The following is a 17,170-nucleotide window of genomic DNA, read 5'->3' as shown; positions in this document are numbered from 1 at the left end:
ATTATAGGATAATAAAAGTACATGTTGATATATCAAAAAAATAAAATACTACATGCCCATAAAATAGTGTATATCCAAGATGTATTGATATAAAAATCTGATCACAATACTTTATGTAGGAAAAAATCATGTGTATGTATAATGGGATTTTAGTTAATAACATGAAATTTATATTTATTCATTGAATCAACAAATATTTTGAGATTTTCCAAGTGTATGAAATGCTTGTGTAGCTATGCATATAAATCATGTATGTGTACAGCTGTGTGTATGGAAACATACAATATTAAATCCATATATCTAAGTTACCTCTGAATGGTGAAATATTGGTTATTTAAACATTATTGCTATTCTAAATTTTCTAAATATTTTAGCCAACAAACTCAAATTATCTGTGTTAAAAACAGATTTTCTCCGTGTGTGTGTGGGTTTGTGTGTCCACCCACAATAGGTAATACATTTTACATCTTCTACCACATACATACTGAAACAAAACATCAAGAAGCAATGGTTAACTTTATTATGTGTGCCATAACCTGCTCTGTTCTGTTCTATTTTATTATATTTGATTATATAATGCTGGCCTAGACCTACTGAATTGATTTTCCAACCTAAAAATGGGCAGGCCAAGAATTGGAGTTTGTATAACTCCAGTGTAGAACACATATGGTGGAATGTGCCTCACAAGGAGAAAAGAAAAGCAAGATGCACGTGGTTAAAGACTTCGGAATTTACCTTGCAGGTACTGGGAAACCATTAAAGGATTTATTTCTTGCTTAAAGAAGTTTCATAAACAGCATTATTCTTTAAAAATGCCTGGTCGGGTTTGGAGCTGTTTTGATCTTGCTCTGTAATGAGAGTGGGGAGGTAGTGGGGGTGAGGGTGGGACTCTGGCTGAGGGTAGGGAGCAAGACAGAAGGTATTGCAGTGAGCAGGTGGAGATGGCATGGATGTGAACTCAAACTGTGGCCAAAGGGATTTAGAGGAGGGACCTTGTGTTAATATTTTTAAAATTAGTATCTAAAGGACAATCATTTGTGTGAAGTGAAGAACAAAGTAGGTCAATTCTGCTTAAGTCTTCACACTGACCAAGAGAACTTGTTGGATGGATATGTTACAATCATTGAAAGCAGGGAAGAAAATCACCGTTTTGAAGCTAATGTGTTTGAATCCCTATGGAAGGTCTTACACAGCATCAGGTTACAGAGTCCAATTGTGGGCTTTCTCTGTCCTTTGATTTAAGGCAAATTAAAATCTAGTGTGTATGGTTTGCCTGACGGTTGTGCACTTAAGTGACTCAAAGCAAGGAGTTTTGAAATTCCCTGCAGAGCTCAATACTAGGTTTGGAAGCTCTCTCCTCCCCGTCTGTCAGTGTGTGCATGGAGAAGTCAAGTGTTTTCTTAATGTACATTAAACTAAATATAATTAGAATAACTCAAACAATAGCTGCAGATTGGGTACATAACATCCTGTAGAGAAACCTAAAGCCTGCTAAAAATAACTTTTGGGTTATTCACTGTGAGAGATTATTTTAATCACTGCTTCTCTTATATCAACCCAGTTAGCTTAACTAAATATAAAGAGTTTCAAGCTATGGTGCTTAACTCTGGGAAATGAGGTTCTCATAACTAAGTATTTGAAATATTTCCTTTGGTGGTACATATTTAAAAAATAATCTTACATTTTACTAACAGGTTCTTGCCAAGGGAAGGGTTTTTATACTTGTTTTCAAGCAGCACTAAAGACACTGATATAGATATAAAATAAATCATGCCATAAAAATTTAGGGAGTGAATACTCTCATTCCTTCTCTTATACTAACACAATAATGCTTTAGGTAAGAATGTCACAAAAAATAGGCAAAAGGAAACAATCTGTCAATATTGCTCAAGGATATTGCTTGATCTCAAAGAGTGCGACTTCATCATTTGATTCAGCTTCTAAGTATCCTTCCTCTGCCAAAAATTGTCCCAAAACCTAACTCCTCTTCCTTCTAACTCCCATGCAAAAGGCACCCTTAAAAAATGCAGTTATAGTCCACAAATAGCTTAAGCCAGGAATAAGGCAGCCATTTTAGCAAAAGCCCAACTTGCCAATTTGTTACAGAACAGTGATTGGAGATTGAATTTCAACTCTCCAGTGGAGCCATAATGAACCTGAGAGCACTAAAGTTGAGCCCCTAGGATAGGTGACCCACACAATCCCACAAACAAGCTGGCAGGAACACAGCTACCATGACATTTAAGACTCCCACAGTGGTTTTACGTAAATGGCAACCCAGCATGAGACGACAGGAGACAGGGTTACGGGCCAAAAGTTTCTCTAAGAACCTTTTCTCATGTTTATTTGTGATAGAGACCACCTGCAAGGAGTTCTTCTTTTAAAAAGTCTCTTTAAAGTACACATTTTCAGCAAGAACTAGATATTTCATTTGGAAACGAAATTAAATGTTTCCTCTTTAGAAAATAATATATAGAAAAAAACCCCTTGTACGTGTGAAAGTACTTATGCTATAGATAAGTGACTCTCATTTGAAAATCAACATGTACAAGAAACGCTTAAGTAACACACAGTTGATGGTGTTAAAGTAGGTTAACACCATCAACTACTTATCTTTCTTTTTGCCTTTTTTCTGCTACCCTAAATTAAATACGTAGCAGCTTCTTGAGTACTCTATTTCTGTTCATATCCTGGGAAAGGTAAACCATTGACAGTTGCAGTAAACCACTGACAGTAGAATGTGTCCTTGGTTGTAGAACTAATGAAAACGTTAGAAAAAGATAGAAGTATTTCTGCTGTAACCTTGCATTTTATTTTTTTCTTCTTCACATTTATCATTAATGAAAAGCTGTGACCTAACCTGGTGAAACGGTCTTCGTCAACTTTATGTGGGTGTTTTTACTCTTCAACATCTCAAGGGACAAACACTTTTAAACAACTCTCAAGGGACACTCATTTCTTTTCATCATGCTCTCATACTCTGTGGACATTGGAATGTTTCTTGAAGGACCAGGAAAGTTTGAAAGTTTGATTAGCCTCTTAATTTTCAAGGTTTTTAAAGAATATATGTGTATAAAGAGGCTAAATAAAACAGAAGCTATCAAATGCTCTGTCTCCTGGCTTCTCTGCTAGTGACAGGGATCTAAGTGTTAAGTCCTTGACCTCTGATGCAGGTGGTCATATGGAGATACACTGTCAACACCCTGAGCTTTCATCTCAGCCACACCCTCATTCTTGCTTCCAGGAAGAATCCATATTTGTAAGTTTCTTTATAGGAATAATGACTTTTCTGATGATTTTATAGGCAATAAATGTAATTAATCACTATTCCACACTTTAGCTGAAAGTGTTAACATTACAAAAACACATATTTACAATGCTATGACCTATGTTTCAACAAGCCCCATATTTTAAAGTAAAATAAAGACTCATGTTTTTACAAATCTATTTCCATTTCTGATAAAGCTAGGGGAAGTGTTAGTATTTGCCCATCATTATTTTGTGGTTGGCATTATGTACAGTATCTCATTAATCCTAATTTAGAAACTCTATGAAGTGAGTATTTTTGCCCTAATTTTACAGAGATTTGAAGAAACACCTACCACAATGAAGAAACACAACTAGTGATTATTGGAACGAACGTGAGGACCTCCTTCAGATTTTTACACCACAGTATGGCCTCTCCCCGAAGCTTTAGAGTAATTCCTACATTGCTTAAATATTTTATTAAACACATGTGGAGTTTATAAAGTGGTATACAGACAACTTTTTATTTGTGCCTCATTCATGGATTTTTAAATCTGCAGTAGCAAGTTTATAGGAATAAACTCAACAAAATACAGAGAAGACTTCCACCTGCAGGAAGATGTAGTAGACATGCTTTTCTATAGTCCTCTTGCTAAGTACATCCAAAAACTTTAACCATCATGTATACAATAAACACAAAATAACTCTAAAAAGTGGAGAGAAGATGGCAAAACATCCAGCTACCTGAGGAATCATGAGGTGATGATTTCCCTGGGTTTTCTTTTTGCTGCATATAACTCACATTTGGAAGAGGTAAAATTGGTAACTCAGAAATGTCAATGAGTGCAAACAAAAAAGCCCCTCACCTCCATATCCTTCTCTCTTTAGCCAAAGGAGCAGGAAAAGGGCAGCCTAGCAAGAGAGAAAACTTTTAGACAATAACCATTATACTCTAGTCAAACACCACATACAAACTGGCTTGAAACAAATGGGAGATTAAAGATCTTCAACAAAAAATAAAAAGTCTCAGCTAAGAAATGGGAGATATAAAGAAGAATAAAAAATTGTAGAACTTGAAAATATGATAAATGAAATTAAAAGCTCAGTAGATAGGATCTACAACAGAAAGGAGAGGAGAGAGAAAAGATTCCGTGATGGCTCACCCCTGTAATCCCAGCATTTTGGGAGGCCGAGACGGGTGTATTACCTGAGGTCAGGAGTTCAGGGTCAGCCTGGCCACCATGGTGAAACCCCATCTCTACTAAAAAATATAAAAATTAGCCAGGCGTGGTGGTGGGTGCCTGTAATCTCAGCTACTTGGGAGGCTGAGGCAGGAGAATTGCTTGAACCCAGGAGGCGGAGGTTGTAGTGAGCTGAGATGATGCCATTGCACTACAGCCTGGGTGACAAGAGAGAAACTTCGTCTCAAAAAAAAAAAAAAAAAAAAAAAAAGAAAAGAAAAAAGATTCAGTGAACTGGAAAATGAAATAATAAAAATTATGCATATGAATAATATACAGAAAATAGGCTGAAAAAAATGAACAAAGACTGAAAGTCCTGTGGTATTATAACAAAATATCTGACATTTAAGTCACTAGAATACTGGAAAGAGAGGAGACAGGGTAAGGCTAAAAAATACCTGAGGAAATAATGGCTGAAAACTCCCCAAATTTAGCAAGAGAAATAAACCTACAGATGCAAGAAGATGAGTAAATCTTGACAAGAATAAACCCAAATAAATTCATGGCAAGCTATATCGTAATTAAACTTCAGAAATTTAAACACAGATAAATTTATATTGATAGCAGCCAAAGACAATAGCTTACTTGCAGAAGAAACAATATGAATGACAAAATATTTATTGTAGAAATTACAAAAGCCAGAATGAAAAGCAAAATATTTCTCAAATCCTTGCTAAAAACATAAAACTGTTTACCAAGTATCCTATATTCTGCAAAAATAACCTTTAGGAATGAGTAGAAATCAGGACAGTCTCAGATAAAGAAAAACTTGTTCTTGACAAAATTTGTTGCCAGCAGACTTACCCTGAAGAAAAGGCTAAAGAGAGTTCTCAAAATAGAAATAAAATGATCAAATAAGAAATTTTGAAGCAACAGGACACCAGAAAGAATTACAGATATGGGTAAATACAGTAGGTTTTCTTTCTCCTCTTGAGCTTTCTAAATTATATGTTATGGTGGAAGCAAAATTGATAATGCCATCTGTTGTGGTACCAAATATATGTGAAGAAAATATTTAAAACAATTATATTATAAAAATGAGGAAGCAAAGAGATGTAAAGAAACATAAGGTATTTATACTATCCCTGAAATGGTAAAACAATAACACTGAAAGACTCTTATATGTATGCCACCCTGAGAGAAACCACTAAAAAAGCTATGCATGGAGATACACTCAAAATCACTATAGATATATTAAAATGGCAATCTAAAAAATGTCCAAGTAACCTAAAGGAAGGCAGGGAAAGAAAGGAGAGAAATTTTACAAATGAGAAAAAACAGAAAGTGAAAACTAAAATGTTAGGCTTTTGTCTTAATATGTTGAGAATCACATGAAATATAAATGGCCTAAATAAATCAATAAAACAATTGTCAGAGTAGATTAAAAAACACATCTGTATGTTATCTACAAAAAACTCACTTCAAATAAATTATATAGGCAGGTTAAAATTCAAAGGCTAAAAATGAGTGTATTATGGAAACCTCAATCAAAGGACAGCCAAAGTGGCTATATTAATATAAAAAAAAGTATACTACAGCACAAAGAAAATTACCAATATAATCAAACAACTAGATCCCATTGCTTCTGCTACCCAGAAGCAGTAGAAAACATATTCTTTTCAATTTCTATAAAATATATCAGATAGACCATATTTGGAGGCATAATCAAATTTCAACAAATTAAAAAGAATTGAAACTGGCAGTTTGTTCTTTGACCAAAATGGACTCAAACTGGAAATTAATAGCAGAAACACAAGAAACTCTCTCAAACTTTGAAACTAAACAACACACTTCTAATTAAGCTATCTTCAAATAAAAAGTCTCTATAGGAAGAAAAACACCTGGAACTGTATGAAAGCAAAAACAACATGCCAATGTTTGTGGGACACAGCTTAAACATGTTGAGAGGGAAATTTAAAGGATAAAATTAATGCATATATTAGAAAAAGAAAAAGTTCAAATCAGTAATCTGGGCTCCCACCTGAAAAACCTAGAAAAAGAACAAAATAAACCCAAGTGTGCAGGAGAAAGGAAATGGTAGAGATAAGGAGAAATCAATGAATTTGAAAACAAAAAAACAATAGAGAAAATTAATCAAAAGGATACCACCAGTAATATGTTTGTTGAGACTTGTCTTATGAATCATAATGTTAGCAATTTTCATAATTGTTCTATAACTGACTTTTAAAATGTGCATTTTTGCCCATGGATGGGTAGACTCAATATTGTGAAAATGGCCGTACTGCCAAAAGAAATCTACAAATTCAATGCAATTCCCATCAAAATACTACCATCATTCTTCACATAACTAGAAAAAGAAATCCTAAAATTCATATGGAACCAAAAAAGAGCCCTCACAGACAAAGCAAGACTAACCAAAAAGAACAAATCTGGAGGCATCACATTACCTGATTTCAAGCTATACTATAAGGCCATAGTCACTGAAACAGCATGGTAGTGGTATAAAAACAGGCACATAGACCAATGAAACAGAATAGAGAACCCAGAAACAAACCCAAATACTTAAAGCCAAATGACCTTTGACAAAGCAAACAACAGCATAAAGTGGGGAAAGGACACCCTATTCAACAAGTTGTGCTGGGATGAATGGCAAGCCACATGGAAGAGAATGAAACTGGATCCTCCTCTCTCACCTTACACAAAAATCAACTCAAGATGGGTCAAGGACTTAAATCTAAGACCTGAAACTATAAAAATTCTGGAAGATAGCATTGGAAAAACACTTCTAGACATTGACTTAGGCAAGGATTTCACGACCAAGAACTCAAAAGCAAATGCAATAAAAACAAAGAAAAATAGCTGGGACTTAATTAAACTAAAGAGCTTTTGCACAGCAAAAGGAACAGTCAGCAGAGCAAACAGACAACCCACAGTGTGGGAGAAAATATTCACAATCTATACATCCAACAAAGGACTAATATCCAGAATGTACAACGAACTCAAACAAAATAGCAAGACATAAACAAACAATTCCATCAAAAAGCAGGCTAAGAACATGAATAGACAACCCACAAAAGAAGATATACAAATGGTCAACAAACATATGAAAACTGCTCAACATCACTAATGATCAGGGAAATGCAAAACAAAACCACAATGCAATACCACCTTACTCCTGCTAGAATGGCCATAATCAAAAAATCAAAAACCAGTAGATGCTGGCGTGGATGTGGTAAACAGGGAACACTTCTACACTGCTGGTGGGAATGTAAACTAGTACAACCACTTTAGAAAACAGTGTGAACATTTTTTTTTAAGAGCTAAAAGTAGAACTGCTATTTGATCCAGCAATCCCATTACAGGGTATCTACCTAAAGGAAAATAATTCATCATATGAAAAAGATACTTGTACATGCATGTTTATAGCAGCACAATTCACAACTGCAACAATGTAGAACCAACCCAAATGCCCATCAACCAACAAGTGAATAAAGAAACTGTGGTATATATACATGATGCAATACTACTCAGCCATAAAAATGAATTAATGGCATTCACAGCAACCTGGATGAGACTGGAGACTATTGCTCTAAGTGAAGTAACTCAGGAATGGAAAACCAAACATCATATGTTCTCACTCATAAGTGGGAGCTAAGCTATGAGTATGTAGAGGCATAACAATGACACAGTGGACTTTAGGGAAAGGATGGGAAGGGAATGAGGTACAGTGTATACTGCTCAGGTGATGGGTGCACCAAAATCTCACAAATCGCCACTAAGAACTTACTCATGTAACCAAACACGAACTGTTCCTCAATAACCTACCGAAATAAAAAAAAATTTAAAAGTATATTTTGCAACTTTTAAGTTAAATATAAATATATCTTTTACATACTTTCACTTTAGTTGATCTCTCAAGCACTAAACCATGTGTGTTAAAATAGTCCAATAGGATGGTGGGTTTTTACGTTATCTTTTAGCTCTTAAGATTTTTGCTTTATATATTTGATGCCACTTTTTAGATTAATATAAGTTCAAAATGGCTATACTTTTTGACAAATTTAATATTTTATTATAATATTTATCCATTATAATGTTTTTTTGCCTTAAATTCTATTATATCTGGCATAGCTATATCACCTTGCTTTGCTTTAGTATTTGATTAATACCACTTTTTCATACTTTCAATTGCATACTTTCTATATTCCTATATATTATATAGCTGGACTTATTTTTCAGTCTCACCTGAGAATCTTTGTCTTTTAAGTCAACTCTTTTGTATAATTACATTTATTGAGTTGTGATATATTTAGTTGTGTTTCTATTATCCTAGTTTCAATTTTATTAATAATTTCTAGGCTCCTTTTTTCTACTTTATGTCCTTCTTTTGAGTTGATCAGTTTTTTCCATTTTCATTTTTTCCTTTGTTTCAAATATATATGAGTTATTTACTGTTTTTAGTTACCCTACAAAAGGTAGCATACATATATGTTATCAATGTTTGAAGTTAATCATTATCTTTTACTTCTTCCAAAGACAATATAATCACCTTAGAACACCATAATTCCCCAAATAGGTATTTTCTAATGTATACTGTTCTATTGACATTATTAATATTATTTTATTCAGTCAATGTTAGTGTCTGGTTTACCAATATATATACACCACTTCCTTGTTCATCATTTCTTCTTGTCTCTCAGACTTTCTTTCTGAAAAATATTTTTCCTCCTAAAGAATATACTTTCCAATTTGTTAAATGAGAGTCTCTTGATGGAAAATATTTCCATTTTTTTTCACTTGAAGGTATGTTTATTTCACTGAAATACTTTTAGACATTTTCCATTAGGCACATTTTAATTTCTGTATATTAAAAATGTGCTTGATTCTCATGATGCTAGCAGGAAGTGACTATTTTCTTCTGGAGAAAATTTGTCCGTTTTCTTTTACTCTATCAGGTCTTAAAATATTTCTATGTTCTTGAAGTTTTGAAGATTGACTACAATATCTCTTTGTGTGGAATTTTAAAAAATGTATCTTTCTTGGTAATTTGCAGTCTTCCTGGAATTTGATGATTGTTGCTTTTCATTTGTTTTGAAAAATTCACAGCCATTTCCTCTTTAAACATTTACACTTATCCTAGTATATCTCTGTCTTTTTTTCCTACTAAACCTCCAGTAAGTAACAGAGAACTTCTCATTCTATTCCCATGTCTCTTAATTGCCTATACTTTCTAAATCTTATTTTTCTGTACTACTTTCTGTATAATATCCTTAGAAATATTTTCACACTCTTTTTTCTTCCATTCTTTTGAATCTGCTAACCCTATCCACTTAGTTTTCTTTAAAAAATACTATATCTTAGTTCTGTTAATTCTGTTTTGTTTCTTATTCAAATATGCTTAGTCATTTTACTCCTTCTTCATTTCAAAACTCTTTCATTTTTTAAGCATATTACCTTATACTTATTTAATATTCTATGTCAAATATATTTGTGGATTTAATTCAGCTATTTGTTTTTTCTATCACCTCACAAGTATGATACCTTGGTTCTTTATGTATTCTGAATTTTTTATTGTGAATTTAGTTCTTTGAAATTTTATCTTTGGGAGTTTTTATATTGCATATATTTAAGGTATACAACATGACATTGTGGCATACATATTCACAGTGAAATAATTACTACAGTCAAGCAAAATGACATATCCATCTTCTCACATAGCTAGGCATGTGTGTGTGTGTGTGTGTGTGTGTGTGTGTGTGTGTGTGTGTGTATAGATTCTGCCATTTGTGACAGCATAGATGAACCTGGAGGGCATTATGCCAAGTGAAAAGAGCCAAACAGGAAAAGAAAAATACTGCATAATCTCACTTATATTTAGAATTAATAAAAGCCACATACATACAAACAGAGAGTGAGTGATGGTTATCAGGGGTGGAAGTGGGGTGTGGGGAGATATAAGTCAAAGGGTTCAAAGTGGCAGTTATGTAGGATGAGTAAGTCTGGAAATCTAATGTGCAACACCAGGATTATTGTTAAGCATATCTTTGGAAAATTTTGTGATTTATTTTGAATTTAAATAATTTCAGGTAGGAATTTTATTTGTTTTTGGATTTTCATCTCTGTTTGCCTGATGCCTTGAGGTACCAATAGCCTAGTACCATTTAAAATAAATTATTGCTTATATGTTTTATTAATTATTCAAGTGATGTGAATTTAGTTTACAAATCCATGTAAAGAATAACTTATTTTCGTGAATATTCAGGAGAAATTTTTCTGTTTCTCCACTTAAAACCAAGACTGGAGGCAGACAATTTGATTTATTTTCTGGGGATGGGTTAGGTCTAGTTCAAATTTATTTTGAAGTTGTAGTTGTTTGGGGTTCCTGCTTCATTAAAAGATTCTTCTATTAGACTCCTAGCTTGAGTATTCCTTTAGGATTTGTCTCTTCTTTCTCATTCTTTGAATCTTGGAAACTGAAGCTCAAGTTCAGAACTAGTTAGTTTCTTGTTAGCTCACTGATGTAAGTAAAACTTTCTAAAAATAAAAATCTGATGTTTACAGTTGTTTTTAACAGTAGTGATGTACAGAAAAATTATTCTATCATGAGGCCATAAGTGTTCCAAAGATGTTTCTAATCTCAAGTAAGAGATTGCCTCTATTACATGTCCCTCTATGGAATTACAAAGAAAAGTATCTATTTTTTCAAGGTAGCAAAATTTCACTGATGTGCTTTATTAGGAAACTACTAACACAAGTCATCGCTGTATGTTGAGGTGAAGTAGGAAATGGCATGCATCTAGTTTTCCATCAAGAGATATTGTTTCCTAATGCTAAATATTGGAACAAGTAAAAGTAGAAATCCTCTCCTATAATAGTGATTAAAGTCTGAGTTTCCATCATTAAATTGTACATTTTTAGAAACTTATGGATAAGAATGTGTTCAGGGCCAGGTGTGGTGGCTCACACCTGTAATCCCAGCACTTTGGGAGGCTGAGGCGAGCAGATCACTTGAGGTCGGGTGTTCAAGACCAGCCTGGCCAACATAGTGAAACCCTGTCTCCAGTAGAAAATACAAAAATTAGCCGGGTGTGTTGGTGGGTGCCTGTAATCCCAGCTGTTCGGGAGGCTGAGGCAAGAGAATCGCTTGAACCCAGGAGGCAGAGGTGGCAGTGAGCCGAGATCGCGCCACTGTACTCCAGCCTGAGTGACAGAGCGAGATTCTGTCTCAAAAAAAAAAAAAAAGTGTTCAGTATAAAAATACAACATGCTCATTTTCATCGTGTAAACATTAGAGGGAAAAACTATTTGTACTGTAAGATGCAAGGTTTTAATAATCCAAGGCCTAGATCAGCTTCTATTTTTATAGCATAGCATATAAATAAGGAATGTAACAATGGTTTGCATATTGTGGCTGCACAATAAATCTGTATTAAATGACATTCATTTTTCTTCAGAGAAAGAAAAGACAAACTTTTTGAGAGAATTTGTAATGCAAATATTTAGTGGGCAATCTTGCTTTAAATCATAATAGATTTAGTAATAAATAAAGTGGGTATTGACACGAGTTGAATGAAATAAGGAGAATGGTTTGGCAAGCCAAGTGGAAGGGGTGAGTCCAGAGCTGGGAATTAAGTAGGTGAATAATGTGATGATTTTAATGATACATTTCTGCACTAGAGTGATAAAAATAGCAATATAAACTTTCCAAGCATACACAATGTCATTCTTCCCCAAATTGCTGAATTCTATGTAACTTTTACTTGGAAGGAGATTTGGGGCTTTTATTTCTTTGTCTCCACCACAACTACCACCATCTGTTTTTCTTCTTATAGCCATCTCTCCATGGCAACCCATATTGACTTACCAGCATGATTGCAATTGTATGGCCAACTTCATGTAACCCTGTGCTGCCAACCATGGATCCAGCAATTTTCTTTCTACCTCTGCTTTCAGAATCACCTTCTAGTGATTGTGTTGTTGCACATTAGGGCACACCACACACAGGGGAGAAGTGGCGTTTTTAATGAAAGGTGGCTTTTATCTCAGCAGCTTTCTCAGGGCCAGAACTTCTCCAGCAGTTCTTTTGTGAAAGTTAAGACCTGGCTGGCAACTGAAAGTGTACATACTTGTCAAGAGCATTAACTGAGATTTCAACATATCAAACCAGACAAAAGAGAAGCAGGAAAACTGGCATCAATCTCAGAAATGGCATGTTTCATTTTTCATTTGTTCCATGCAGTACCATTCAGGATACAGTTTAATAAGAATTGGATGCTCCTTCACTCATTAAATAGTGACATCCATAACAACAGGAGATGTGAATAGATTGTTCATTGAGATTGGACTTTCTTTCTCTTTATGGTTTAACTAAGAAGAATTTGGAAGTTTTGCATTATGACAGATCAACAGTGCAAAGAAATCATCAAACTCTCCATCGAGGGATTATCAGACTCATGCTGTGAATAGCTTGGCAAAATTATGAACTAGTATTTTTTCAGTGACGATCTGGAAGCAGAGTACTATTTTTCTTTTAACCAAGTTAACTAGAATAAATTTTCTTAAAATAAATGAGAAATGAGAACCATACTTGGAAATAAAACAAGAAACATTACAACTGATCATGATATGTAAATGTAGCTCAAACAATAATCAGTGAGGTCTTCACTGTCAACTTTCACAACAATTATATGTGTTGCACCGCAATATACAGAAGATGTGAAATTCAATAGTTATGTGTCTAGTAAATGAATTATGTCCTGGATCAAGGCATAAAGAACATAATGGAAAGGCCCACATTTTTAATGACTTTAATATTTTCCATGAAATTTGATCAAAAACATTTGCCAAGAAATGTGATCAAAGAGAAAAGTTTTCTACCTGAGTAAAAGTATAGCAAGTGTTTTCAAGAGCAATTAATCAAGCCAAAGAAGCAGGATAAGTAAAATGTAGATGGCCAGAAATATCTCTGATATGAAGGTTTGTCTACCAATATTCCAAGAATAAGATGTTTTGCATATTTCCCACCTGAGTCCTGCATCTAAAATTCTTTTGCTAAAACTACCAACAAAGTGACTGGTTGGTTTTTATAATGATATACCTCTGCTTTCTGTGCATGGGACCCATTACAAACTCATTTTCCAACGGTCTCAAAACAACTGTTCAAACAACATAGTGTTTTGTCCTCTCTGACCTCTGTGGGCTAAGTCAAAAGTTTGTAAGTCAGGGGCGAGCCCTATTCCAGCACCAAACATACAAACAATACAATATCAATTTCTCTCCATTTTAAAGATTCTTTCTTAGGTTTCTCTATTAAAATAATTACTAAGGCACTGGTAGGCATAATTCCTACAACTCCTTGAATTTCCCTCCTCATCATGTTCAATTGCACTGATGTTTCAAACTAAACCAGCTAGTTCTAAAAATCAAGACCAAAAACAAAACAAAAACTCTACTGCCGTATGACTGTTCAGATTACAGAAGTAGATCCTAAGAATGAAGTACAGGAGACTAGAGACTCCACTTTTACTCTTTCCTTCCCGCTGTTCCTCTTCATTCCCTCTTATCTACTTAGGAGAAGCACCATTAAAAAAAATTAATGTAGCTATAGAAATTGTATTCTTGAATTCCAGAATAACCACCTGATGGAAGTTTTCTCTCTTCGTATTATTATTCACTCTGTGACTTGTATAAGCAATACTTTATGTGTTTAGCTCTCTACTCTGCTTCAAGGCCTAAGTGTGATGCCAGGACCCATGCAAAGCCGTCATGTTAAGGAGACAGGCAAAGAATTCAGCCATACAAAAACTGCAGTGCAGTGGCAGAGAGGAGGAAGAGAGTGGCAGAGGTGATCTCAGGACCTCTTGGCAGATATCAATAGTTACAAAGTGCTCCTAGGACACCAGAGTTGGGATTTAGAAATATACTAGGAATTTGTATTATTCTCCTTGTGCCAGACAAAAACATATCTGAACTCTTCTTCTTGTACATACTCACTCTTCTTCCCATTTCCTATAACAAAGGAGATTCTGTTTCAAGAATCTATAAAATTCCTTAAAATTTGTAGCACCTCTAATTTTATTGGGTCACATTAAATACACTCAAGGCTTTTTATTTGCATGCAAATCCAATCTGCATTTTTGCTTTAGAGAGTTTTCCTTGAGAACTTTACTCTTTTAAACTCATTTCTACTCTCCATTTTTGGATAAACACTGTTTAATGTAACTGCGTCTCATTGTTCATAGAGAATGTCTCAAATTCCAAGTTCAATTCAGCCAATGCCAGTGATTTTCTAGGAACCTATAGGTCTCTGTTAAAGATTTAGAGAAACAACAACTGAAAACAACAACTCCCTCCCCCACCACACACACGCGCACACGCGCACAATCCCATAGAAATCATTACGTTCCTAAAAGAACTTAAAATCTAGTAAGGGTGATAAGTCTCCAAATGATAAAGCAGAATGACATATGAGAATCATACACCAAGTGCTGTCCTAGTTCAAAGAAGATGGAATTAAAGCTTCTAAGTGTTGTCATATTTATCAAAGGAAAAAAGGGGAGCAGGCATGAAAATAAAAAGGTAAACACCTTTTAAAGGCCATAGTTTGATGGCAAATAGCAAAGCAAAAGAGAAAGAGAAATGTTTCTTAACATAGCTACATGATTGACAGTGCTAGCAAAAGAGCAGTCAAATGTGGACCCATGTATTATAATTGTAAGAGTTTCTAATAACTTGGTCTCCATAACTAGTTTTTATCTCACTAATAGGATCCATTCATACTTTAATCCACATAGCCATTTTTTGAATAAACATACAAATAGCTACCCATGTCCAGTGATCTAGTAGGCCCTAGAGGTACAAGGTGAGCAAAGGGAGACTCAGTTTTTCTTTTCATGAGTATTGGGCTTCTCAAAGTGTAGAATAATGGCACAGTATACACGTTCAGGTATGCACGTGCATGTATTTGAATATGTAAATATCACCTTAGTAAGTTTGGAATAAAAATCAATTCTAAAACTTTTATCTAGCAAGGCAGATTATTTAAGAGAGAAAAAGAGTAGGAGATAGAGAAGAGAGAAAAACTGGCAGGGAAAAGAATGGGAGAAAGAATGTCCACTTGGATAAGAGAAGGATCAATAGGCTAGTGTAAGAAAAAGAGATTTATCTACTGCCATTAGCCAAACTATTCCTACAAGGACTCCTGTTGTCAAATTTCTAGGCAGACTATTTCTTTACTTCTCAGGTAAAAATGCAAAATTTAAAGTGATCCTATCAGCCACTAGCTGGTTTTATGGGAAAACCTTTTTAAATTTTTCAGTTTTAAGCAGAAAGATGAAAGGCCATACTTCTTATTGAGGCTAAATTTTACACAGTATGACAAGGAAAAAAAAATTTTAAATTAAACAAAAATAACCTAACTATGTGGAACAGGCCCCCCTCCGATCCCCCAAAAAAAGAAGTGCAGCAGAGAAAACAATTGGATTTAAAGATGTGAGCGTTTTGCTATACTTCGTTTAATAAGGTGAATTACTGACAGACTATTACTCATTTTACTGAGTGCCTGGGTGAGAAAATATTAAAATGTATAGGCAAAAGCTCTTTCTTAAGGACCCTGTGAGTTTCAGCAAATTTTAGGAAATACTATAGCGTTCACAGTAAAAGGAGAGCATGAACATAATCTAGAAAAAATTTATTCACTCTTAAAGTTAATTAAATGTTTTCAAAATTTGCTTCAATTTCTCTAGAGAGTCTTAGAGCAGGCTTTTGAAAGATTAAGCATGTGGAGGGAAGCAAGAATGATACCTAATGATGCTAAAATATTACTTATCATAGCTTCTTCTTTACCTGTAACTTACTGAAAACTGTAATATGAAAAAGGAATAATTTTATAAAGAAGTTAAATAATAATCAGTTCCATGACTAGCCTATGTTTTCATTTTTCAATGTTTCATTTTATTTGTTCATCATATATATATTTTCCATGTTTACAATTGTATATATATACTATTATATATATTTTTATAAACTATGTACATACATACATATAATTGTAAACATAAAAAGTACACTATTATATCCAGCTCTTTTTTACTTAACAAAATATAAAATTTCCATGTTAGAATTTTCACAATTTTTATTTTCTGACATTTTACTCCACTGGTTTGACGTGCCATAATTTGCTTTATTTGTTCCAATAAGGATTTTTTTTCCACTAACATTCATTGAGCACTTAAAGGTGCCCAGGACTCTGTGGTGCCTGGACAGAATGGAAAGCATCAGAGCTGGCTGTCAGTGCAGCGTAATGACCCCCGACACAGGGGGAGCCGTGGCTCTGTAAGGGCTATAGCCCCAGGCCCCTGGACAGGGGCAGACTGAGTCCTGACAGAGAAGTAATAGCTTGGAATCTAAAATATATTTGATCACCATTTCATCAACACTACCATTCTTAACACATGCTCCAAGTATTATATCTCTTGTTCAGTAAAATGTTAAGTATGTTTCAAACATTAAAATACTGAATATATTTTCAGTTCATTTATTAAAGTTCAACTCTAGCTAGTTGAAGTTGTGAGGAATGAAGGTATTTTCAGAAGAAATATAGATCACCTTTTTGTCACAGTAGAAATTGAATTTCTGTTCACTTGTGTGCAGGTAGGAGTCCAGGAGGGCATAAGAGTGGACAGGTTCTATGAGATGAACAAGGCAAGAGATTAGGAGCCAAC

At 34.4% G+C, this 17,170-nt stretch overlaps 1 protein-coding gene across 6 annotated transcripts in view, besides 1 other annotated feature; it reads right to left on the bottom strand.

Moving 5' to 3' along the window:
* The window catches only part of NKAIN3 (sodium/potassium transporting ATPase interacting 3), a 750,799-nt gene that overhangs the window by 434,423 nt on the left and 299,206 nt on the right, over positions 1–17,170 (bottom strand). The gene's annotated exons all lie outside the window — the stretch shown is intronic.
* Positions 1,992–2,569: an enhancer, noted in NCBI's record as "NANOG hESC enhancer chr8:63475220-63475797 (GRCh37/hg19 assembly coordinates)". NCBI's record gives its function as "activates a minimal SCP1, AML or CMV promoter by ChIP-STARR-seq in primed H9 embryonic stem cells {active_cell/tissue: H9 hESC(primed)}" and the evidence as "EXISTENCE:reporter gene assay evidence [ECO:0000049][PMID:30033119]".

This window comes from Homo sapiens, chromosome 8, assembly GCF_000001405.40.
Source record: "Homo sapiens chromosome 8, GRCh38.p14 Primary Assembly".
In the NCBI taxonomy this organism is placed as follows: Eukaryota; Metazoa; Chordata; class Mammalia; order Primates; family Hominidae; genus Homo; species Homo sapiens.
The sequence above is the reverse complement of the archived record's forward strand: the minus strand, read 5'-3'. Positions and strand labels throughout refer to the sequence as shown.